At 40.2% G+C, this 24141-nt stretch overlaps 1 long non-coding RNA gene across 1 annotated transcript, besides 2 other annotated features; it reads left to right on the forward strand.

Moving 5' to 3' along the window:
* The first annotated feature begins 17576 nt into the window (after nt 1-17576).
* Nucleotides 17577-23165, forward strand: LINC03061 (long intergenic non-protein coding RNA 3061). The gene is made up of 2 exons (NR_185883.1): nt 17577-17757; nt 19701-23165. It is a non-coding gene; the product is annotated as a long intergenic non-protein coding RNA 3061 (long non-coding RNA).
* Nucleotides 19361-20319: an enhancer, noted in NCBI's record as "H3K27ac-H3K4me1 hESC enhancer chr13:109919619-109920577 (GRCh37/hg19 assembly coordinates)". NCBI's record gives its function as "activates a minimal SCP1, AML or CMV promoter by ChIP-STARR-seq in primed H9 embryonic stem cells {active_cell/tissue: H9 hESC(primed)}" and the evidence as "EXISTENCE:reporter gene assay evidence [ECO:0000049][PMID:30033119]".
* Nucleotides 22837-23565: an enhancer, noted in NCBI's record as "NANOG-H3K27ac hESC enhancer chr13:109923095-109923823 (GRCh37/hg19 assembly coordinates)". NCBI's record gives its function as "activates a minimal SCP1, AML or CMV promoter by ChIP-STARR-seq in naive H9 embryonic stem cells {active_cell/tissue: H9 hESC(naive)}" and the evidence as "EXISTENCE:reporter gene assay evidence [ECO:0000049][PMID:30033119]".

A 24141-nucleotide genomic window follows, 5' to 3' on the forward strand; every position in this document is an offset into this window, starting at 1 on the left:
GTTAGTTTAAACCTAACCATGCCAATAATCACACTAAATGTAAATGCTCTAAATATCCCAATTAAAAGATGGAAATGATCAGATTAGGCAAAAAACCAAGACCCAACTCTATGCTGCATAAAACAAACACACATTAAACATAGACACTAAAAAGTTTAAAAGTAAAGTATAAAATATACATTATACTATAACCAATAAAAATAAAACTGGAGTGATGGCATTAGTATCAGATAATGTAGATTTCAGAGCAAAGAATATCAAGGATAAAGAAAGTCATTTAATCAAAGGCTCAATTCATTAAGAATAAATAATATTCATAAAACTTTATGCACATAGCAATAGAGATTATAAATATACAAAGCTACAAATTACATACTGACAAAGGTGTTAAAAGGAAAACTTTAGACAAATTAACAGTCTAAGTGAGCAAAGAACAGTTCACGATTGGGCACTACCCAAACCAGAATAGGTTCAGAGCAACTCCAGGGTAGCCACATAGTCAGATAATATTTACAGACAAAAGAAAAGTGATGTACAGAAAACAGAAGGACAGTCCAGAAACAACTGGATTGGTTACAGCTCCTAACATTTGCTTGTTTGAATATGGTTTGAACAGCTGGCTGCCTGTGAGTGGCTGAAACTCTGCGATTGTACAAGAGTAGGTTACAGTCTGTTTACACATCCAGTTAGGTTGCAGCTTACTACGTGCAAGCTTTGGTGCCAAAGTTAAAATATGTAAGGAGGCAACTTCAGGCTAAATTTAATTTAACAAGGACATGCATCCAGAATATGTGTGGAACTCAAACTCAGTAATAAGAAATCAAACAGCCCAATTAAAAAACTGGAAAAAAGATTTGAGCAGATACTTCACCGCAGAAGATATGTAAGTTGCAAATAAACACACAAAAAGATACTCATCAATAGCCCTTAGGAAAAGAAAAATTAGAACCCCAATCTGATGCCACTATACATCCATTTGAATGAGTAAAATTACAGATTGTTAATATCAATTATTGGTGAGAATGTGAAGAACTTAAATGTTCATACACTGGTGTTAGCTGTGTGAAATGATAAATTACTTTGGAAAACAATTTAGAAATTTCTGAAAAATGTAAACATACATCTGTCAAGTGATCCAACCATCCCTCTCCTTCATATTTACCCAAGAAAAATGAAAGCAGATGTCTATACAAAGAGTTGTAAGTGAATGTTAATAGTGGCTTTTTTTGGTAATAGCCCAAAACTGAAAACAATTTAAATGTCCATCAAAAGGTAAATGAATAAACAAATGGCTGTCCATCCATATAATGGAGAGCTACTCAGCAATAAAAATGAATGAACCATTGATACACACTACCACGTGGTGACTCTCAAAATAACGAGGCTGTGGGAAGAAAAATAGACCTGAAACAGTACAGACTCTATTATTCCATTTATATTCATTTTTAGAAATTGCAAACTAATCTATAACGACATACATTGGAACAGTGGTAGCCTGAGGACAGGGAAGGGGTGGATTGAATTACAATGGGACCTGAGGAAACTTGGGGGCTGATGAATGTGCTTTCTCCTTTGATTGTTTTGGTAGTTTTATAGGCATGTACACATGTCAAAACATATCAAATGATATACTTTAAATATATGCACTTTATTACATGTCAATTATATTTAATTAATGCTCTTGGAAAAAGAAAGGGAAAGATTAATTACAGGGCTCAGGAAAGAGCTATTGCAGGTGACAAGGCATAGAACTTAAATTTTAGAAGCTTAATAATAAACATTTCTGTTTACATATATGTCTATCTTGTTAGTAAAGCTTCCAAAACATTCATCTTTGTATCTCTGGGCCTAGCAGAGTTCAGAGTGGCTTTATTTGTACCTGCCTAAAACTGAAAACTGTTTAAATGTCCATCAAAAGTCAAACAATAAACAAATGTTAGACTATCCATTTTGTCACATGATAATTGTTCCATTAATTCTTCTAACTGACTGGTTGACCAAAGAAACCAATGCTTAATCTCTGGGTGGTATCCAAGGTCCTGAGATAACACCAGACAGAAAGTGAATGCAGGGTTGTAGAAGAGACCTAGAGATTGAATGAGTCAGCTTTATATCAAAGAAGCAGAGCCACTAGAATATAATGAACCCCTCCCTATGAAAAAGAATTTGATTTAGGTATTTAATCTTGGGTAACTGTAGGGGTGGTTAAATGTTTATTAAGAGACCATTTCTCAGATTTCTGGTGCTGCAGGTTGAAGTCAGCAGGTAGACAGTCGAGAAAGGAAAACATAGGTGGAGTGGGGAAGACAAGACCAACAGGAAACACCCAGGATGAGTGGACTCCACAAAAACCTCCAATTTCTCACTGCCCCTAATCCTCCACCCTGAATGATAGAGATGTCTTTCAGGAGAAAGTAATTCCTTTGTCATGGAGAAGAAAAGAAAGGTAATGACAATGGTCTTAATCACACATTCCTTGTTTCACTTGTAAAGTTTTAAAAAATGTGTTCATTGGCTGGGCGTGGTGGCTCATGCCTTTAATCCCAGCACCTTGGGAGGCTGAGGTGGGCTGATCACAAAGTCAGGAGTTCGAGACCAGCCCGGCCAATATGGTGAAATTCCATCTCTACTAAAAATACAAAAATTAGCGTGGTGGCGGGCACCTGTAGTCCCAGCTACTCAGGAGGCTTAGGCAGGAGAATCACTTGAACCCGGGAGGCAGAGATTGAGCAAATATCGCACCACTGCACTCCAGCCTGGGTGACACAGTGAGTGAGACCCCATCTCAAAAAAAAAAAAAATGCATTCATTTAGTTAGCACCTTGTCTATCTCATTATTATCCAACATTGATCTTTTACTCAACTGCTTTTCTTATCAATCATTATTTTCCACTCTCTCGAAGTTTAGTTCTAAGGCTCCTTTAGCATATAAGCGTCCAGGCACAGTATGAGTTTGTAATTTTTATATGCTACACAGTAATGCTTATAGTTCTGTGGGCCCAAAACCTGCCTTTTGTTTGGGATATTTATTTAAAGAGTGAAAGCCCAATAGACACTTTTCGTCTGACTGATTGACTAAAGGCTCTAAAGAGTGTATTGGGTCTACAGAGCAGCCTTATTTCCTATTACTGTTTGAGCAGTTGCCAAATTTAGTTTGACTCCCCTATCTGTGAAGCCAATGAGATTCATTCAAAGTAATATTGGGAGTTTTCTGGATCAATATTGCTAAGTGTTCAATGTCAAGAATCCGTGGAATACCACTTGAAAATAGGTTGATTTGAGGAAGCTAATTGGTTTCTTCTAAGCTCCTTGAATTAATGCTGCTATTATTTTTCAACTAAAATTCCAGTTTTAATACTTCACAAGGGCATTTTATGAGCTCATTACAAGACATAGGGTAAGTGCAACACATGAGAGGTCATTTAAATGAGTGAAGAGATGTAACAAGAAACACCTGAAAAGTCAGAATGACCAGATGACATTGTATTTTCTTCTCTAACATTAGTTTTTTTTTTAAATCATATTCATGATACAATGAATATCCAGTTGGAAAGAATCACAGTATATTGAAATATGTATTCCCTCTACTGAAACATATTCAAAATAGTTTTTCTCATATTAAATGCATAATATGCTTTTCAGTTAGAGGGCCTGAAATATGATGCAATGACCAAGTGCTGCTTATTAGGAAACTGATCAAATTTTAAAAGGTGGGGGATGGGAGAGACAAATTCAGTTTGGAAAGGAAAACTGGTAGCTTTTGGTCTGATTAAAACTATGAACTGTAACTTTATAAATCTTTTTTCTCCTTTACCCAAAGTGCCAAAAACAAAGCTGTATTCCTTTGATAAAGATTTCTGAAGACAAAAATAGCAACGTTTTTTTCTTCAGAAAGTCAATAGCTTCTAATTGGGACTACGGAGCTTACTGTCAAGGAGATCACAATGTCTGCACCGAGAATTTTCTAGATAATCTTTTGTGGCTAAGTCTCAAGAGCTTCAGAACTGGCAACAAGACTCAAAATGCTGTGAGAAGAATATCACCCATAATTGGATTAGCACAATTTTCTAAGTTAGGGTTAAAAGAAATTTTTCTTACATATGGAGGTTCTGTTAAGTTTGCTAAGCTAAATCATTTAATACTTTTTCCAGGAAATGGCTGTTTGTTATTAGGGAACTTTATGTTTTTTGAAGAAGCATGAAAATTCCAGGAAGGAATTCCAGAAGTGATGAATGGGGATGTTTGTTTAGTGAACCACTTTCTGTTCTGGCAATCCATTGAACGTCAATTTCACATCCCAAGATTCTCAGGACATTAGTGATTCTTTACATTGGTGGGCTCCAACATGGGTAAAACCTCTATGTTCTGCTGCATACACTCGTTTTGACACAACATCTTTGATCTGTACCAAAATTATTGAGGATAAGTTTGATGAAACAGTATCTGATGTGAAAAGCTGAAACTTTTTATAAGAAAGTAAAATAAGCAGGAAACAAAATATAGGTATTAAAAAGGAGACAATGAATTCAGAGTAAAAATAAAAATAATTCCATGATAATAAGATAGCATACATTTTTGTTTTAAATTTTTTATTACGCAAAATGACAAATATAAATAAGAGGATAGTAAAACAAAGCCTCATACACCTATACCCTAGCTTCAAAAATTACCAACTCAAGGTGAGTCTGGTTTTGTTCCCACCCCACCCACTACTTTCCTTTACTATTTTGAAGAAAATCCTAGTCAGCATATCATTTCAGTTGTAAATATTTCAGTATTTCTTAAATGAGTAAAAGCTTATGAAAAAGAAATGACCATAATATAATTGTCACATCTAAAAGTTGGTAATTCCTTATATCATCAAATACTAAATTACTGTTCAAATTTCCAAATGTCTCATAAATGTCATATGTTTTAAGTTTAAGTGAGAATCTAAATAAGATCAACAATTACAATTAGTTGATAAGTCAATTAAACGTTTTATAATGTAGTAGGTCTCTTCCCTCCATTAGTTTTTTCTTGTAAATTATATTTTGAAGGAACCAAGTTGTGTACCTCCTAAAGTTTTCTTGGTCTGAAACATGACATTTTTTTAAAGTAGTACATCCAAGAAGTCATATCAATGCCCACTGTTGAATTTTAGGTGCCCGCTCGATTTTGAGTTCACTAATGGTATTAAGAGAAATTTTATTTGTCATTGAATAATTATTTTTACAACATTCCTGCTATCTTGTTAGATCATCTCAATTATTTTGTTTTTGGTCAATTTTGTGACCCATGAAGAAAATCATATAGTTGTCAATTATCTCTTGAGAGTTACTGCCACGGAGTATCATGCTAAATTTAAATAAGGTATTGTGGCAGACACAATGCTATGTTTTCATGAAACTCCATCCCATTTTTCCCTCCATGGGCACACAAGGTCTACAATATCTAGCCTCCATTCTAACGTGATGCCATATGACCAGCTCCTGGCCACTGGGTGTGGGCAGAAGCCATGTCCTAGCCTGGCTATAAAAGCCTCTGCACATTTGCCAGCAGTCTGGCTCCCACATGGTTAAGACAGTAAGATCAGTGTCTTTAATACACACTAGGAAGGCAGCTGCCTGACCCACATCAGACTGGAACAGGAGTGAGATGTAAAGCTCTGTGCTGCAGTAGTTGAGTCTGGGGATTGTTACCACAGCATAGTCCAGCCTCATCTATCTCAACCAATACTAAGACTGTTAGACTGAAATAGAGACTGCATCATTTCCAGTCTGGTTGAGAACACTTCCAAACTTCTATTTGAGTAAGACTCTCCATGTAAGTCTCATTTGGACTTAAATGAGCCAAAACAGAGATTGAAAATAGACAATACATATATAGGCTATAGAGTTGGTTTTTTTAAATTTATTTTGTTTTTTAAACATAGTAAAATACTTAAATATTTTCATCACATTTACTTTAAAATCTAAATGCTTATTTGACGTCAATATATTGAAAGGGAATAAAATGGATACTGGAAGTAGGAGCGACCAGTCCTTCAGTTTAATATCAGCTCAGCATAGAGGAAAACATCTTAGCTAAATGTTTCATTTGAACGCAATTATTTTTCAGCATTGAGAGGAGTTTTTGGCCAAATAATCTACTACTTTGAAAAAGACAGCCAGAACCTACTTTTCAACGGAAGTTCTTTCAAAAAGCCAGAAAGAAAAAGTGTAGGAGTCATTGATGGTGGTAGAATTTTGAGTCCATGCCCATATAACCCAGGGCCTCTCTGTCACCTGAAGGGATTTTCTGAGACACCAGGAGTGCCCTCTGGGCCACTCCTTAAAAGTCCATTCTTATGCCCACCACAGGTCAATCTCCATAAATCCCACTATGTTATTTAACCAAACCTGTTCTTATCCTATCTTGTTGATGGTCAAGTAGACAGGCAATAGAGATGAAAAGATAATAAGCATTTTATCCAAATGAAACAGCATAGGTTCACAGGAGTTTAGCATGGGAAGTCATAGAGATCATGTGACCTAATTCCTTTATTACACAGACAAAGAACCTATGCCACAGAAAGCCTAAGGGGCTTATCCAAGGACAGAATGCAGTCAGGCCGTGATAGACACAGGCAGCTAGATCCAGTTTCCTGACTCCTGCTTCTGAACCCTTTTCCTGTCCCTTTAATGGAGCCTCACTTTAATACAACTTACATATGCTAAATAAACTGACTTATTACAAACCTGACTGGAAGATTCTTGGGACTTGGAATAAATACTCTTTTCACTGACAGACATAAGAAACCACATTTTTTTTTTTTTTTTTTTGAGGCACAGTCTTACCCTGTTGCCCAGGCTGAAGTGAAGTGGTGCAATCTCGACTGCAACCTCTGCCTCACAGGTTCAAACGATTCTCCTGCCTCAGCCTCCTGAGTAGCTGGGACTATAGGCATGCGCCATCACGCCCAGCTAATTTTTGTATTTTTAGTAGAGACAGGGTTTCACCATGTTAGCCAGGATGGTCTTGAATGCCTGCCTCAGCCTACTAAAGCGCTGGGATTACAGACGTGAGCCACTGCACCTGGCCAAAACCACCTTTTTAAAAAAATGTAGAATGACCTAGTGAGAGGCAGATTATTAAAATGGAGAGAATGGGTTTTGAAAGTTTTGTTCTAATCTTATCGCTATTGTTCTAACCTTGGAAAAATTGCTTACACTGTATGAACCTCAGATTCCTCATTTGTAAAATGGGGAAAATAATACCCCCACACAGAATTAGTGCCACGGTTACCAAGTCCTCGGCATCAGGGAGGCACCATAAGGCAGTGGAGCTTGCACTCAGTGAGGCATATGTGTGTGCCTTGTGTTACCAAAGATCTTGGAAAATCTCAATTTAAGATTTGGGGACACATGTCGTTGCTAAATTTATTACAAGTTTCAACTTTCAATTTTGAGCATCCTGGCAAACAAACCCACAGTAACCTATTTAGTATACCACTGACATAAATATGTTTTCTAGTGAAATCAACACTGTATATTTTTAAGGAACACAAGTCTACAAAATCATATCTTGCTTTCATGCCAACCTAATTGCCACAACTACCTCTAAGACTCCATTTTAAACCCTAATTGCTTCAAGGTGGCAAGAAACATATAGAACTTTATTTGTTTAGGCTATTTGCAAAAGGCAATACAGCCTGTCATCATGAACATTCTATTGATGTGGTATGTGGTTGTTCGCTGTGAAAACAGAACCATTTAAAATTGTGTAGCACTAAACACACCCTGGTATGATGAAGTGTGAGAGAAAGGAAACACAGAACTCAAACACCAGGAAAAATGAACACTCTCATTGCAGTGAAACATTGGTATGAAATTGGCACAAGGGCAAAAGGAATTCAGAAATGACACAACAAACTTACTCTTTTTCTTACTCTAAGTCATTTAACCCTTACTTTCACCTTCTAGTAACAAGCATACATTTTTTACATAGAAAGAAAAACACAGTTATAAAAGATTATTTCACCCCTACTAAAATCAATAGTATATATAAAGGGCAATGATACACACAGGTTACAGCATATGAATATGAAATTTGCATATGCAAATGAAATTTGTTTTTCCTTTGAAAACAACACAGGTTTAATCATGTTATTAAGCAGAATTTTAACGAGCAATTATGAGCGCTACTCTGAAGAGTGTAAATGATAAGTGCTACTATTCGCAATAGCAAAGACATGGAATCAACCTAAATGCCCATCAATGGTCAACTGGATAAAGCAAAATGTGGTACATATACACCATGGAATACTATGCAGCCATAAAAAAGAACAAAATCATGTTCTCTGCAGGGACATGGATGGAGCTGGAGGTCATTATTCTTAGCAAACTAACACAGGAACAGAAAACCAAATACCACATATTCTCACTTATAAGTGGGAGCCAAATGATGAGAACACATGGACACTAGAGGGGAACAACACACACAGGGGCCTATCAGAGGGGAGACTGGGAGGAAGGAGAGGATCCAGAAAATAATTAATGGCTACTAGGCTTAATACCTGGATGATTAAATAATCTGTAAAACAAAACCCTATGACACAAATTTACTTATGTAACAAACCTGCACTTGTACCCCTGAACTTAAAATAATAGTTTAAATAAAGATGCCTGGTGCAGTCCCAAACATAACAGAGGCTGTAATTCAAAATATCGCTATTCAATTACTTTAAAATAAGCTTTCCTTAATACTTTTAAATTGTAAATGAGAAAACAGATATGTACAGAAAAGACCATTAATAAAAGTTTAGGTTTTTCAAGGTGTTGTTTGTTTGTTAATTCATGTGTTTGCTTTTGTTTCAGTTGTTGTTGTGTGTTTGGGGGTGAGGCTGGGGATATTTGTTTCCTGAGGACCTCTGCATTTTCTGACTTTTATTTGAATGTGCTAAGGCAAACTGAGAAAATTCAAAATTGTGTCCAACCGTTTGACTTCTCAAGTCACATACCAAAACAAAAACTATGGGATTACATCAAAGGGCATAGTAGGGATTCCTGGGTTAAGGAGAAAAAAGTGTGTAACATTCCTAACTAGAGTGATGGAGTATGAACTATATAAGGAAAGCTATCATCACCATTGACAAATATTTGTTATGTTAGGCACTAGCCTCCCTGTAAAGGAAGACAATACCCATGAATTCAGAATGTAAGCCACCCACAGCCCTATACTGAAGTTATCCTGGACTTTCCTGCCTGTGTCCACACAGATAGGAATCCTAGTCATGATGAAACTGAACATCCACACTGGCAGCTAGCTCCATGATAGGACATGTGAGCACAAATAGTTCAAATTGCTCAGAGGGAGAAAGTCAAAAGCACATTGTGCAATCTGACTCTTTGGAATGTCAATGTGAGGCATGAATCACCTGACAGAATTTGCCTCGGTCCATTTAAAGACATTATTCAAAGAAACTCATCTACACATCACTGCCCAACAAGGAGACGTTTCTATTTCAAAATTAAATAAGAACCTCAGACAATTTTTTCACAGCAGTTATCATGATTATTGAATATGTGATAATCCACAGTGTATTCAATCCTTGTGGATTACAAAGGACACATTGTAGAAAACTGCAGATTTGGTGACAGCATTGGCACTAAGAGTCAGAAATCCCAGATTCTAGACCATGCCAAACCACTTCCCAGACAGGTGACCTTGGACAAGTACCTTCATCTTGCTAAACTTTTTTTTTCTTTTTTGTTAAAAATAGTAGTAAGAGTTCCTGAATTTTTCATCACACACAGGTTGCACAGGAATCAAAAGAAAGTCTATAACAATATTTGATAAAGTGTAATGCATATGGACACAATAACCATAATAATTACTAAAATATTTTTATTATACAAGCAAAAACTTATAAAAAGAAAATGTTTAATTCAAGTCATGGGAATAAATGAGACTCTTCAGAGAACTTGTAATATAAGTCAGAAAGAAGTAAAAGAAAAGAAAAGCCATGAGGAACACTAATACTTAGAAATAAGGCAGACGGCCGGGCGCAGTGGGTCACACCTGTAACCCCAGCACTTTGGGAGGCCGAGGTGGGTGGATCATGAGGTTCAGGAGATCGAGACCAACCTGGCTAACACAGTGAAACCCCATCTCTACTAAAAATACAAAAAATTAGCCAGGCGTGGTGGCAGGCACCTGTAGTCCTGGCTACTCAGGAAGCTGAGGCAGGAGAATGGTGTGAACCCAGGAGGTGGAGCTTGCAGTGAGCCGAGATCACACCACCGCACTCCAGCCTGGGTGACAGAATGAGACTTCATCTCAAAAAAAGAAAAAAAGAAATAAGGCAGACACAAGAGCCAATAAAGAAGTGAGAAGGTGGGTTTGTAGAAATGTCAGGGAACTAGGGATGTTCTGTGTTACAGATGCCAAGAGAGGGGAAGAGTAATCATCAGCAAAGTACCTCCCAAATGGATCAAATAGGATGATCACAACTAAATTAAAATCATTAGCTTTGGTAACTAGAAAGTCACTGCTCTGTTTCTATCAACTGATTTTTTTTCTTGGTAGGGTCACATTTGCTTGCTTCCCCACATGTCTAGTAATTTTAATTGGATATTTGACATCACCACTGTTGTTCAATGTCTGGATTCCTGTCTTCCTTTAAAATACTCTGTACTTTGTTCTGGAAGGAGATTAATCTCTTTGAGGATGTTTGACCTTTACAGTCTTTCTTAGGATGTTTTTAAGCTTTGTTAGAGAAGGTTTAGAATAGCTTTTGCTCTGGGGCTAGGTGAGCCCTGCACTTAAGATGTGGCCTTTGTGGAGCCTCTACTGAATGCCCTGGTCTTTCCATTCAGGCTAGCTGGAGCCCAAATGTCTCCCAGCTCTACATGAGCTCCAGTGGTTTGTGTTTGTAGTTCCATGACAGTTATCTTTTCTTGATAGTTGTTCTGTACCCTACACAAGTTCAGGTTACTATTCAGACAAAGACTCAGGGAAAACTCTGAGTAGATTCTGAAGCTCCTTCTCTGCTTGGCCCTTCCTCTCTAGTACCCTGCCCCAAAAATTTCAACTGTGCATTTCCTGTGCAAGTACCTTTATTCTCAGTCTTTCTGAACTTTGATCTCTATCACCTCATCTCAGTGAGACTCCAAGTTCTGCTTAGGCTGCCTCTTCAGGGGCCTTGGTCCAGAAGCACTATCCAGGCAGAAAGCCAAGGCATCCAGGGCCCACCACATTAGTTTTTTCCTGCCATGGATTATATTCCTATGCTGCCTTTTGTTTAATGTCTAAAAACCATTTCTTTTTCAGTTTCTCTAGCTCTTTATGTCCGGAGGACTAGTTCAGTACCAGTTACTACATTTTAGCCAGAACCAGAAGCCCACTGGAGATCTTAGGAAAAGAATTTTGAGTGGATTTAGGCATAAATGAAAGAAAGTAATGAGCCAGCACATATAAGCAACTCTTCAACAAAGGGACAGAGGTAGACTGAACAGTGACTTGTGCAGAGATCTTCATCCAAATTATTGCTATTTTGTTATTTATGACTTAATCTCAATAGTATTTCTTAATGTTTGACTCTATGTGGCTAATAACTGTGTCTACTTTGGTTAGTCTTGTATCTTCAGTTAACACAATTCCCATAACACTGGCCCATAACTGGGACTTAAAAATACTTAAAAAAATACTTGCTGAATAAATAAATAAATAACAAATAAATGAATGAATGACTGGAAGAACCAGTCTCCATTTTCCAAATGCTTAAAAGTGTAATGTTATGTGAATATAACACTTGTATGTCATATTACCTGGAAATTTTATTTCTTTATCAAGCCTCCTTTAAAAACAATTTACTTTGTTTTCTAGTGGAATGTGTCCTACTTGAATCTAGAACATGACCCTTTTGCGAAATTGGTTGTCATTTTGTGAACTTTGAGGAATGCCAACCAGGAAGGAACAGTTTGCATTATGAGAAATTTGAGTAGGTACACCAATCAGATGACAGCCATACTTCAGAAACACATCTTAAAATAAATGAATAGCTCTACCTGGCCAAACATAACCTCAACAAATGACTGTTCCAGGCATCTTAACAACATACATGAGAAAAAATGAATTCAGACTTAGCATACAAAATAACTAAAATGTTTTTACCTGCAAGACATATTTTGTAAGTGAAGGCAAGTAGCTTTTGCCTTTACTGGCTGATACCAGATTACTAATTAATCACGTGAGATATTGCTAGATCAGACTTCTAACGAGTGACTTTCAGAGTCTGACGATGAAAAAGTTAAAATCTTTAGTGATGCTTTCTGCACGTATTGTCTTCTTCTCAAGAGACAATTGAGGATTTATAGGTTCTGTTAGAATGAGAAGTTTTCTCAATTCAACATATTGTGATACTTATTCTCCCTAATTTTGTGATGCCATATTCCTCCTCTACACTAGCAAAATAAGAGGAAACTAAAGCAAAATAGCTGGAGAAAAACAGACAATCTCATACATTGATAGAAATACAAAATGACCTTATCTTATAAAAAGGGAATTTGGAAATGTGTAACAGGATGACTTAAGCATTTATCTTTGACCCAGCAATCTCATTTCCAGAGATCTATCCTAAAAGTACATGGCAAAAATATGAAAAATAGAGGTGTGCAACTATATTCCTTGCAGCATTATGACTAATAGAAAGGGTGCAAGAACAATGTTTTCCAATATTTCAATAAACTATGCTATGTCCTCACAACAGAGTACTATAGAGCTGTACAAATAAAAGATGAATACTTCTAGAAGCTTCAATGTGTAGAATATTTAACTAAGAAGAGTATGTGTGTATATATACATATATATCTACAGAAAACATGTTTTATTTTAATAACTTAAAAAATTTGTACCTACAGAGGGTTAAATACATACAAGAGAAAGGAATAGAAGCAAGTCTTCCCTGAGTATACATTGTTTTGTACATTTGACAAATAACTCATGTAAATGCTTAACATTATATTAAATAAAATTAAAATTACAAAGGCCATTCTTAAAATCAAAAGCAAATAAAAAATAATGAACCTGTTTATCAGGTTAGTAGCATATTCACAAAAAGACAAAAATTTCAAGTAACTTTAAAGAATATTGATTTACTATACCCCCTATTGGGTTAGATACTAAAGACCTGAAGAACAATCTTCAACTCTTTTCAATAATCACATTATTTGTGACAGAAGTGATATAACTATTCTGAGAATATGTCATTATTTTCTGTATGTAATGAGTAATTATCGTGAGATAAATCAAATGAACTATTATCATTGAGGATTGGCGTTTTCACCATGAAAGGAATGAGATACGGATGTAAGGTTGATGAGATGAATAATAACCTGTAGTCTTAAATTGTATTTAAAATTAGTAATCAATATGAATTCACATTGTATATCATCTTTATGAATACATTGTGTGTGGGCATGTGCGTGTGTGTTTCTTAGCTTTGTCCTCTAGAAAAGTCTAGAAACAGTGACTAACTCGGTAGCAATTAGCACCTCTAGCACAAAGATCATGGTCTCTAAATATGATTTCCCACTGCAAGGAACCAGAATTCCTTGGTGAAATAATTGCTTTCAGCTTGAGAAAGAAAATGTTAAAGATGAGTCTGAAATGTCTGTTCTTCCCAGACAGTAAGAAGCTAACAAAGTCTATTGAAATCGTGAGCAAATAATTCAACAGCCACATTCAAGAGTTTTTCATTAGCCAATGGAGGGCAAATTTGGCCACAAATAAGATTAACAAATGAAATAAATTACATTAAGCATGTAAATTCATGTGTTTATAATAATACTGTAATAGTCTGTTCTCATGCTCCTAATAAAGACATACCCAAGATGAGGTTATTTATAAAGAAGAGAGGTTTAATGGACTCACAGTTGCACATGGCTGAGAAGGCCTCACAATCATGGCAGAAGGCAAAGGAGAAGCAAAGGCACGTCTTACCTGGTGGCAGGCAAGAGGGCATGTGCAGGGGAACTCCCCTTTATAAAACCATCAGATGTCATGAGACTTACTATCACTAGAAGAGCATGGGAAAAACTTGCCCCCAAGATTCAATTAACTCCCACAAGGTCACTCCCACAATGTGTGGGGATTATTATAATTCAAGATAAGATTTGGTTGGTGACACAGAGCCAAACCATATCAAATACTTAAGTCAAATTTCAGTGATCATCTTCAGAGAGTGAAAGGAAAACAATTTATTGTTTTGAAAACTAGTGGATAAGAGGATATAACCAAGAACTTACATTGCTTTTCCTATAATAATTCTACCTCAAAGTAAACATATAATATACAATGGAAAGGCATTGTTTGTAGATACACTACAGACAATAAATTTAAAAGAAATGATCACATTAAGACATCACCATTTTGTAACTCTCTTTTTTTTATGTATTTAGTCAGATTAGTCATCTACCTTTACAAAGAAAAGAGATGGCTAGACAATGTACACCTCCTAATAACAAATATAATTCTGCCTACAAGTATTTTTGAATACAGAGTAAAATACAGTAAATAAAACCCAAATCCTACTAAAAGTTTAGGTTTACTAGTTTATAAGAAATTCAGGTTTCAAAGGAATTACACAACACAATCTGGACTGTAAAAATTTCTTTAGGACAAACAACCTGTTTCTTCGACCAATAAAATGCAAGGAAAAAGCCAACAAGTTCTATATCTTAAAAGAGGTTTAGGCCAGGCACGGTGGCTCATGCCTGTAATCACAGCACTTTGGGAGGCAGAGGCAGGTGGATCACAAGTTCAGGAGATCGAGACCATCCTGGCTAACATGGTGAAAACTCATCTCTACTAAAAATACAAAAAATTAGCCAGGTGTGGTGGCAGGCACCTGTAGTCCCAGCTACTTGGGAGGCTGAGGCAGGAGAATGGTGTGAACCCGGGAGGTGGAGCTTGCAGTGAGCCAAGATCGCGCCACTGCACTCCAGCCTGGGCAACAGAGCGAGACTCCATCTCAAAAAAAAAAAAAAAAAAGAGGTTTAAAAGATAAATCAATCAACTGCAAGGTATAGATCTCTTTGGGACTTCTGAGTCAGGCAAATTGTAAAAGAAGAAAAGAGAATCAGGAAAATTAGAACACTTAGTAGATATGTAATAGTATTAAGGGGCTGGGCTTAGTGGTTCATGCCTGTAATCGCAGCATTTTGGGAGGCCAAGGCAGGCGGATCACTTGAGGTCAGGAGTTCAAAACCAGCCTGAGCAACATAGTGAAACCCCATTTCTACCAAAAATACAAAAATTAGCCAACCGTGTGGTGCACACCTATAATCCTATCTACTTGGGAGGCTGAGACAGGAGAATCACTTGAACCTGGGAAGCAGAGGTTGCAGTGAGCCAAGAGTGCCCCCACTGCACTCTAACTTGGGCAACAAAGCAAGACTTCAACTTTAAAAAAAAATAGTATTAAGTAATAATTTTTTTTTTTTTTTTGAGACAGAGTCTTGCACTGTCGCCCAGACTGTCATGCAGTGGCAAGATCTCAGCTCACTGCAACCTCTGCCTTCCTGGTCCAAGCGATTCTCTTGCCTCAGCCTCCCTAGTAACGGGAATTACAGGCACCCACCACCACACCTGGCTAATTTTTTGTATTTTTAGTAGAGTGGGGTATCATTATGTTGGCCAGGCTGGTCTCAAATGCCTGACCTCATGATCCACCTGCCTTGGCCTCCCAAAGTGCTGGGATTACAGGCATGAGCCACTGTGCCCTGCCTAAGGAATAATTTTTAATTTTTAAGTATGATAATCATATGGAAATTAACCTTTTGAAAGAGGTCTAAACTTTCAGAGATGTATATTGAAATATTTATGGAGGAAATGATATGATGTCTGGGATTTGCTTCAAAATATTTGGTGAGGGACAGGGTGCAAGATAGGATTATAGAGGACGCAAGACTTGAACTTTCACCCTATTTGGTTGTACTTTCTGAAGTTCTATGGACTAGATAGTCACACAGGGGTTAAGCTGTGTGTTGTGGCTCATGCCTGTAATCCCAGATAAAGGAACAGAAAGGCCTATATGGAAACATTTGAACACCTAGTCAGGCTAATAATTTAGTTCCTCAGAATAAATATATTTGTGAAATGTATATTAAGAGAAGCTAAGCACTGAACAGGGAAGAACAGAATGGAGGAATTAAAAGACCACCGAGTCAGTGCTTTGATCACCTTATTGTCCTAAACCCTTGATATCCCCACACTCATATGCCCACTCAGCTGAATAAAGCCCATGAAGTTACCAGAATATTTAACTATTATATATTATTTCCCAAGCGTTCCCCTTGAAGGAATCACTCCCAGAACCAACCAAGGGGCTTATCAAGATATAATTCCCAATCATGTACACTAAGTCATCTTTCAAAGATAACTTGTGGAGAATACAATTTCTTCATCTAATCCAGGGGGCTTTGGCATTTCTCACCAACTCCCCTCACTGGCAACTGCCTCCCTTCACATGGCTTCAGAGAATTTTCCTGCTAACAGAGATTGCTCAGGAAATAGCTATAAACACCTATTATCTCCCTTCCCAGAGCTTTCTTTAACAATAAGACCCTTCCCTTGGCCATCATTTCCATCATTATTTTGACTTCTCCCTTGTCCCTTAAGTCCAATTAGCTGATTGGAAACCTTCCCACATAATCTGCCATTCTTGCTTCCTTTCCATTCCCAATGCCACTGGATTTGGCTGGACCCCATAGTGAGCGAGGAAGTAAAAAGAGAATAGCTAGGCAGATAGCTAGGTCAAAATTCCTCAGTAGAACTTCCTTTCTCACAAAAAGCAGCCCAAGAAAACACGTGTCTCCTAACAAAGAGCAGCCTGGAAGATTGTGCTGCAAACATAGATAAGGAAGCTGGAAGCTTGCAGCTGGGAGCTGCCGCACTAGAAAGGGGTACCTGGGGCCAGTCATGTGCACCATGAGGGCTCCGCCTCCCACTTTTTTTTTTCTTTTTCTTTTTTTTGCACCTGCACAGTAGGAAAGCAACATGGAGTAGCTCAGGCAAAGGACCCGCCTCCATAATAAAAGGCTGGGATGGGGGCTGCCAGAGATTCGCACTCTATGCTGATGGTACACCTGGTCTTAACTGTTTTTTCACACCCTATGTAGGTAAAATACTGCCTCCCCACTAGGTCACTTATAAAAACTGTCAGGCCTCTGAGCCCAAGCCAAGCCATCGCATCCCCTGTGACTTGCACGTATACGCCCAGATGGCCTGAAGTAACTGAAGAATCACAAAAGAACTGAAAAGGCCCTGCCCCGCCTTAACTGATGACATTCCACCATGGTGATTTGTTCTTGCCCCACCTTAACTGAGTGATTAACCCTGTGAATTTCCTTCTCCTGGCTCAGCAGCTCCCCCACTGAGCACCTTGTGACCCCCGCCCCTGCCCACCAGAGAACAACCCCCTTTGACTGTAATTTTCCATTACCTTCCCAAATCCTATAAAACGGCCCCACCCCATCTCCCTTCGCTGACTCTCTTTTCGGACTCAGCCCGCCTGCCCCCAGGTGAAATAAACAGCCATGTTGCTCACACAAAGCCTGTTTGGTGTCTCTTCACATGGACTCGAGTGAACTTTGATGCCGTGGCTCGGATCGGGGGACCTCCCTTAGGAGATCAATCCCCCGTCCTCCTGCTCTTTGCTCCATGAGAAAGATCCACCTACGACCTTAGGTCCTCAGACCAACCAGCCCAAGAAACATCTCACCAATTTTAAATCCAGTAAGCCGCCTCTTTTTACTCTCTTCTCCAACCTCCCTCACTATCCCTCAACCTCTTTCTCCTTTCAATCTTGGCGCCACACTTCAATCTCTCCCTTCTCTTAGTTTCAATTCCTTTCATTTTCTGGTAGAGACAAAGGAGACACGTTTTATCTGTGGACCCAAAACTCCAGCGCTGGTCACGGACTGGGAAGGCAGCCTTCCCTTGCTGTTTAATCATTGCAGGGACACCTCTCTGATTATTCACCCACGTTTCAAGGGTGTCAGACCATGCAGGGATGCCTGCCTTGGTCCTTCACCCTTAGCGGCAAGTCCCGCTTTTCTGGGGAAGGGGAAAGTACCCCAACCCCTTCTCTCTGTGTCTCTACCCGTTCTCTGCTTTTCTGGGGAAGGGGCAAGTACCCCAACCCCTTCTCTCTGTGTCTCTACCCCTTCCCTGCTTTTCTGGGGAAGGGGCAAGTACCCCAACCCCTTCTCTTCTTGTCTCTACCCCTTCTCTGATTTTCTGGGGCAGGGGCAAGAACCCCTCAACCCCTTCTCCTTCACCCTTAGTGGCAAGTCCCACTTTTCTGGGGGAGGGGAAAGTACCCCTCAACCCCTTCTCCTTCACCCTTAGTGGCAAGTCCCGCTTTTCTAGGGGGCAAGAACCCCCAATCCCTTATTTCCACACCCCGACCTCTTATTTCTGTGACCCAATCCCTTATTTCCACACCCCAACCTCTTATCTCTGTGCCCCAATCCCTTATTTCCATGCCCCAACCCCCCTTCCCACTTTTCTAGGGGGCAAGAACCCCCAATCCCTTATTTCCACACCCTGACCTCTTATCTCTGTGCCCCAATCCCTTATTTCTGTGCCCCAACCCTTTCTCTGCTTTTCTGGAGGGCAAGAAACCCCCACCCCTTCTCCGTGTCTCTACTCTTTTCTCTGGGCTTGCCTCCTTCACTATGGGCAAGCTTCCACCTTCCATTCCTCCTTCTTCTCCCTTAGCCTGTATTCTTAAGAACTTAAAACCTCTTCAACTCTCACCTGACCTAAAATCTAAGTGTCTCATTTTCTTCTGCAATGCCTCTTGACCCCAATACAAACTCTACAGTAGTTCCAAATAGCCGGAAAACGGCACTTTCAATTTTTCCATCCTACAAGATCTAAATAATTCTTGTCATAAAATGGGCAAATGGTCTGAGGTGCCTGACATCCAGGCATTCTTTTACACATCAGTCCCTTCCTAGTCTCTGTGCCCAGTGCAACTCATTCTGAATCTTCCTTCTTTCCCTCCCGCCTGTCCCCTCAGTCCCAACCCCAAGCGTCACTGAGTCTTTCTAATCTTCCTTTTCTACAGACCCATCTGACCTCTCCCCTCCTTGCCAGGCCAAGCTAGGTCCCAATTCTTCCTCAGCCTCCGCTCCTCCACCCTGTAATCTTTTTATCGCCTCCCCTCCTCACACCTGGTCTGGCTTACAGTTTCGTTCTGTGACTAGCCCTCCCCCACCTGCCCAGCAATTTACTCTTAAAAAGGTGGCTGGAGCCAAAGGCATAGTCAAGGTTAATGCTCCTTTTTCTTTATCCCAAATCAGAAGCGTTTAGGCTCTTTTTCATCAAATATAAAAACCCAGCCCAGTTCATGTCTCGTTCGGCAGCAACCCTGAGATGCTTTACAGCCCTAGACCCTAAAAGGTCAAAAGGCCATCTTATTCTCAATACACATTTTATTACCCAATCTGCTCCCGACATTAAATAAAACTCCAAAAATTAGAATCTGGCCCTCAAACCCCACAACAGGACTTAATTAACCTCACCTTCAAGGTGTACAATAATAAAAAAAAGGAAGTTGCAATTCCTTGCCTCCACTGTGAGACAAACCCCAGCCACATCTCCAGCACACAACAACTTCCAAATGCCTGAACCGCAGTGGCCAGACATTCCTCCAGAACCTCCTCCCCCAGGAGCTTGCTGCAAGTGCCAGAAATCTGACCACCAGGGCAAGGAATGCCTGCAGCCCAGGGATTCCTCCTAAGCCATGTCCCATCTGTGCGGGACCCCACTGGAAATCGGACTGTTCAACTCACCTGGCAGCCACTCCCAGCGCCCCTGGAACTCTGGCCCAAGGCTCTCTGACTGACTCCTTCTTGGCTTAGTGGCTGAAGACTGACGCTGCCTGATCGCCTCAGAAGCCCTGTAGACCACCATGGACACCGAGCTTTAGGTAACTCTCACAGTGGAGGGTAAGTCTGTCCCCTTCTTAATCAATATGGAGGCTACCCACTCCACATTACCTTCTTTTCAAGGGCCTGTTTCCCTTGCCTCCATAACTGTTGTGGGTATTGACAGCCAGGCTTCTAAACCTCTTAAAACTCCCCAACTCTGGTGCCAACTTGAACAACACTCTTTTATGCACTCTTTTTTAGTTATCTCCACCTGCCCAGTTCCCTTATCAGGCCGAGATATTTTAACCAAATTATCTGCTTCCCTGACTATTCCTGGACTACAGCTGCATCTCATTGCTGCCCTTCTTCCCAATCCAAAGCCTCCTTTGCGTCCTCCTCTTGTATTCCCCCACCTTAACCCACAAGTATAAGATACCTCTACTCCCTCCTTGGCGACCGATCATGCACCCCTTACCATCTCATTAAAACCTAATCACGCTTACCCGACTCAATGCCAATATCCCATCCCACAGCATGCTTTGAAAGGATTAAAGCCTGTTATCACTCACCTGCTACAGCATGGCCTTTTAAAGCCTATAAACTCTCCTTACAATTCCCCCGTTTTACCTGTCCTAAAACCAGACAAGGCTTACAACTTAGTTCAGAATCTGTGCCTTATCAACCAAATTGTTTTGCCTATCCACCCCGTGGTGCCAAACCCATATACTCTCCTATCCTCAATACCTCCCTCTACTACCCATTATTCTGTTCTGGATCTCAAACATGCTTTCTTTACTATTCCTTTGCACTCTTCATCTCAGCCTCTCTTTGCCTTCACTTAGACTGACCCTGACACCCATTAGGCTCAGCAGCTTACCTGGGCTGTGCTGCCGCAAGGTTCCAGGGACAGCCCTCATTACTTCAGCCAAGCTCTTTCTCATGATCTACTTTCTTTCCACCCCTCCACTTCTCACCTTATTCAATATATTGATGACCTTCTTCTTTGTAGCCCCTCCTTTGAATCTTCTCAACAAGACATACTTCTGCTCCTTCAGCATTTATTCTCCAAAGGATATCGGGTATCCCCCTCCAAAGCTCAAATTTCTTCTCCATCCGTTACCTACCTCGGCATAATTCTTCACAAAAACACAGGTGCTCTCCCTGCTGATGGTGTCTGATTAATCTCCCAAACCTCAATCCCTTACAAAACAACAACTCCTTTCCTTCCTAGGCATGGTTAGTGCGGTCAGAATTCTTACACAAGAGCCAGGACCCCACCCTGTAGCCTTTCTGTCCAAACAACTTGACCTTACTGTTTTAGCCTAGCCCTCATGTCTGCATGCAGCAGCTGCCGCTGCTTTAATAATTTTAGAGGCCCTAAAAATCACAAACTATGTTCAACTCACTCTCTACATTTCTCATAACTTCCAAAATCTATTTTCTTCCTCATACCTGACGCATATACTTTCTGCTCCCCGGCTCCTTCAGCTGTACTCATTCTTTGTTAAGTCCCACAATTACCATTGTTCCTGGCCCAGACTTCAATCTGGCCTCCCACATTATTCCTGATACCACACCTGATCCCCATGACTGCATCTCTCTGATCCACCTGACATTCACCCCATTTCCCCATATTACAAGCCACTAGCCCATCTCTTAGAACCTCTCATTTCCTTTCCATTGTAGAAATCTATCCTCAAGGAAATAACTTCTCAGTGTTCCATCTGCTATTCTATCTGCTATTCTGCTACTCCTCAAGGATCATTCAGGCCCCTCCCTTCCCTACACATCAAGCTCGAGGATTTGCCCCCGCCCAGGACTGGCAAATTAGCTTTACTCCACATGCCCCGAGTCACAAAAACTAAAATACCTCTTAGTCTAAGTAGACATTTTCACTAGATAGGTAGAGGCCTTTCCTACAGGGTCTGAGAAGGCCACCGCAGTCATTTCTTCCCTTCTGTCAGACATAATTCCTCAGTTTAGCCTTCCCACCTCTATACAGTCTGATAACAGACCAGGCTTTATTAGTCAAATTAGCCAAGCAGTTTTTCAGTTTATATCCCTTATAGTCCTCTGTCTTCAAGAAAAGTAGAACGGACTAAAGGTCTTTTAAAAACACACCTCACCAAGCTCAGCCACCAACTTAAAAAGAACTGGACAATACTTTTACCACTTTCCCTTCTCAGAAGTCAGACCTGTCCTCAGAATGCTACAAGGTACAGTCCATTTAAGCTCCTTTTTATTAGGCCCCAGTCTCATCCCAGACACCAGACCAACTTAGACTGTGCCCCCAAAAAAACTTGTCATCCCTACTATTTTCCGTCTAGTCATACTCCTATTCTCCGTTCTCAACTACTCATACATGCCCTGCTCTTGTTTACACTGCCAGTTTACACTGTTTCTCCAAGCCATCATGGCTGATATCTCCTCATGCTATCCCCAAACTGCCACTCTTAACTCTTGAAGTAAATAAATAATCTTCGCTGGAAGGACTATGCTGAACCTCCTTAGGCATTCTCTAATTAGATGTCCTAGATCCTCCCAATTCTTAGTCCTTTTATACCTGTTTTTCTCCTTCTCTTATTCCATTTAGTTTTTCAGTTCATACAAAACCGTATCCAGGCCATCACCAATCTTTCTGTATGACAAATGTTTCTTCTAACAACCCCCTCAATGTCACCCCTTACCACAAGACCTCCCTTCAGCTTAATCTCTCCCACTCTAGGTTCCCACGCCGCCCCTAATCCCGCTTGAAGCAGCCCTGAGAAACATCGCCCATTCTCTCTCCATACCACCCCCCAAAAATTTTCACCGCCCCAACACTTCAACACAATTTTGTTTTATTTTTCTTATTAATATAAGAAGGCAGGAATGTCAGGCCTCTGAGCCCAAGCCAAGCCATCGCATCCCCTGTGACTTGCACGTATACGCCCAGATGGCCTGAAGTAACTGAAGAATCACAAAAGAACTGAAAAGGCCCTGCCCCGCCTTAACTGATGACATTCCACCATGGTGATTTGTTCTTGCCCCACCTTAACTGAGTGATTAACCCTGTGAATTTCCTTCTCCTGGCTCAGAAGCTCCCCCACTGAGCACCTTGTGACCCCCGCCCCTGCCCACCAGAGAACAACCCCCTTTGACTGTAATTTTCCATTACCTTCCCAAATCCTATAAAACGGCCCCACCCCTATCTCCCTTCGCTGACTCTCTTTTCGGACTCAGCCCGCCTGCCCCCAGGTGAAATAAACAGCCATGTTGCTCACACAAAGCCTGTTTGGTGTCTCTTCACACGGACGCGCATGAAAAAAACCCTTTCATTTTACTGTGGGACGGCAACCCTTTCTGGGACCCCTCTCTGCAGCAGAGAACTGTTCTCTTTCTTTCACCTGTTAAACTTCTGCTTCTGCTCTGACCTCGTCCTTGGTGTGTCTGCATCGTCGATTTCCTCAGCTGTGAGACCAACGACTTGGGCACCCACCCAGGCAACAAGGCCTTTTCAGTAAGGGAAGTGGTAAAATGTTTTCAATCCCTGTTGCCAAAAATCGGCCTAAGGCTTCCCAAAAAAAGTAACCCAAAGCAGACATGGCAAATATTTGCTACATTTGATAATAAGCCAATAAATTATCTGCTAATAAGTGACTGAAATATTTAGCACACATCTGCCTTATTCTGATGACTGATCACATTTCTAGCTCCCCTGTGGACTAAAACAATATGCTTTCCTTCTCTACACAAGCAATGCTTTCTGCAGAGACACAAACTTTACATCTGAATACAAATGCAGCACGTTTTAATTCTGCCTCTCATTCTCCAGCAAAATCATGGGGAAGAAGGAAAACATCCTTAGTCAAAAGGGGTACAGGGACTTAGAACCTCACCATGCTGCAGTCACACAGGCAATAGAGAAAGATGGCGGTGGTTCCCTGGGGCAGTTCCCCTCTCAAGCAAGGAGACAGGGGCAGCACTCCTACCATCTCCCCAGGGATATAGGAGTTAAGAAGGAATTGCTTAGGCAGATAGCAAGGGCATGGGAGTCCTGGGTAAGGCTTTTCTTTTTAATGAAAAGCAGCCCCAAGTCATTTTCTAACAAAGAGCAGCCTGCAAGCTGGGAGCTTGCATAGGTGAATGCCAGCAGGAACTAAGGACTAGACATTTTCAAACTGGTGGCTCCATCTTCCCTTCCCTGCCAGCCAAGTGTATTGTAAGGAGCAGAGAAGATGGCTCTGATCAACTGGAAAGC

The sequence above is a fragment of the Homo sapiens genome, chromosome 13 (genome assembly GCF_000001405.40).
Source record: "Homo sapiens chromosome 13, GRCh38.p14 Primary Assembly".
Taxonomy (NCBI): domain Eukaryota; kingdom Metazoa; phylum Chordata; class Mammalia; order Primates; family Hominidae; genus Homo; species Homo sapiens.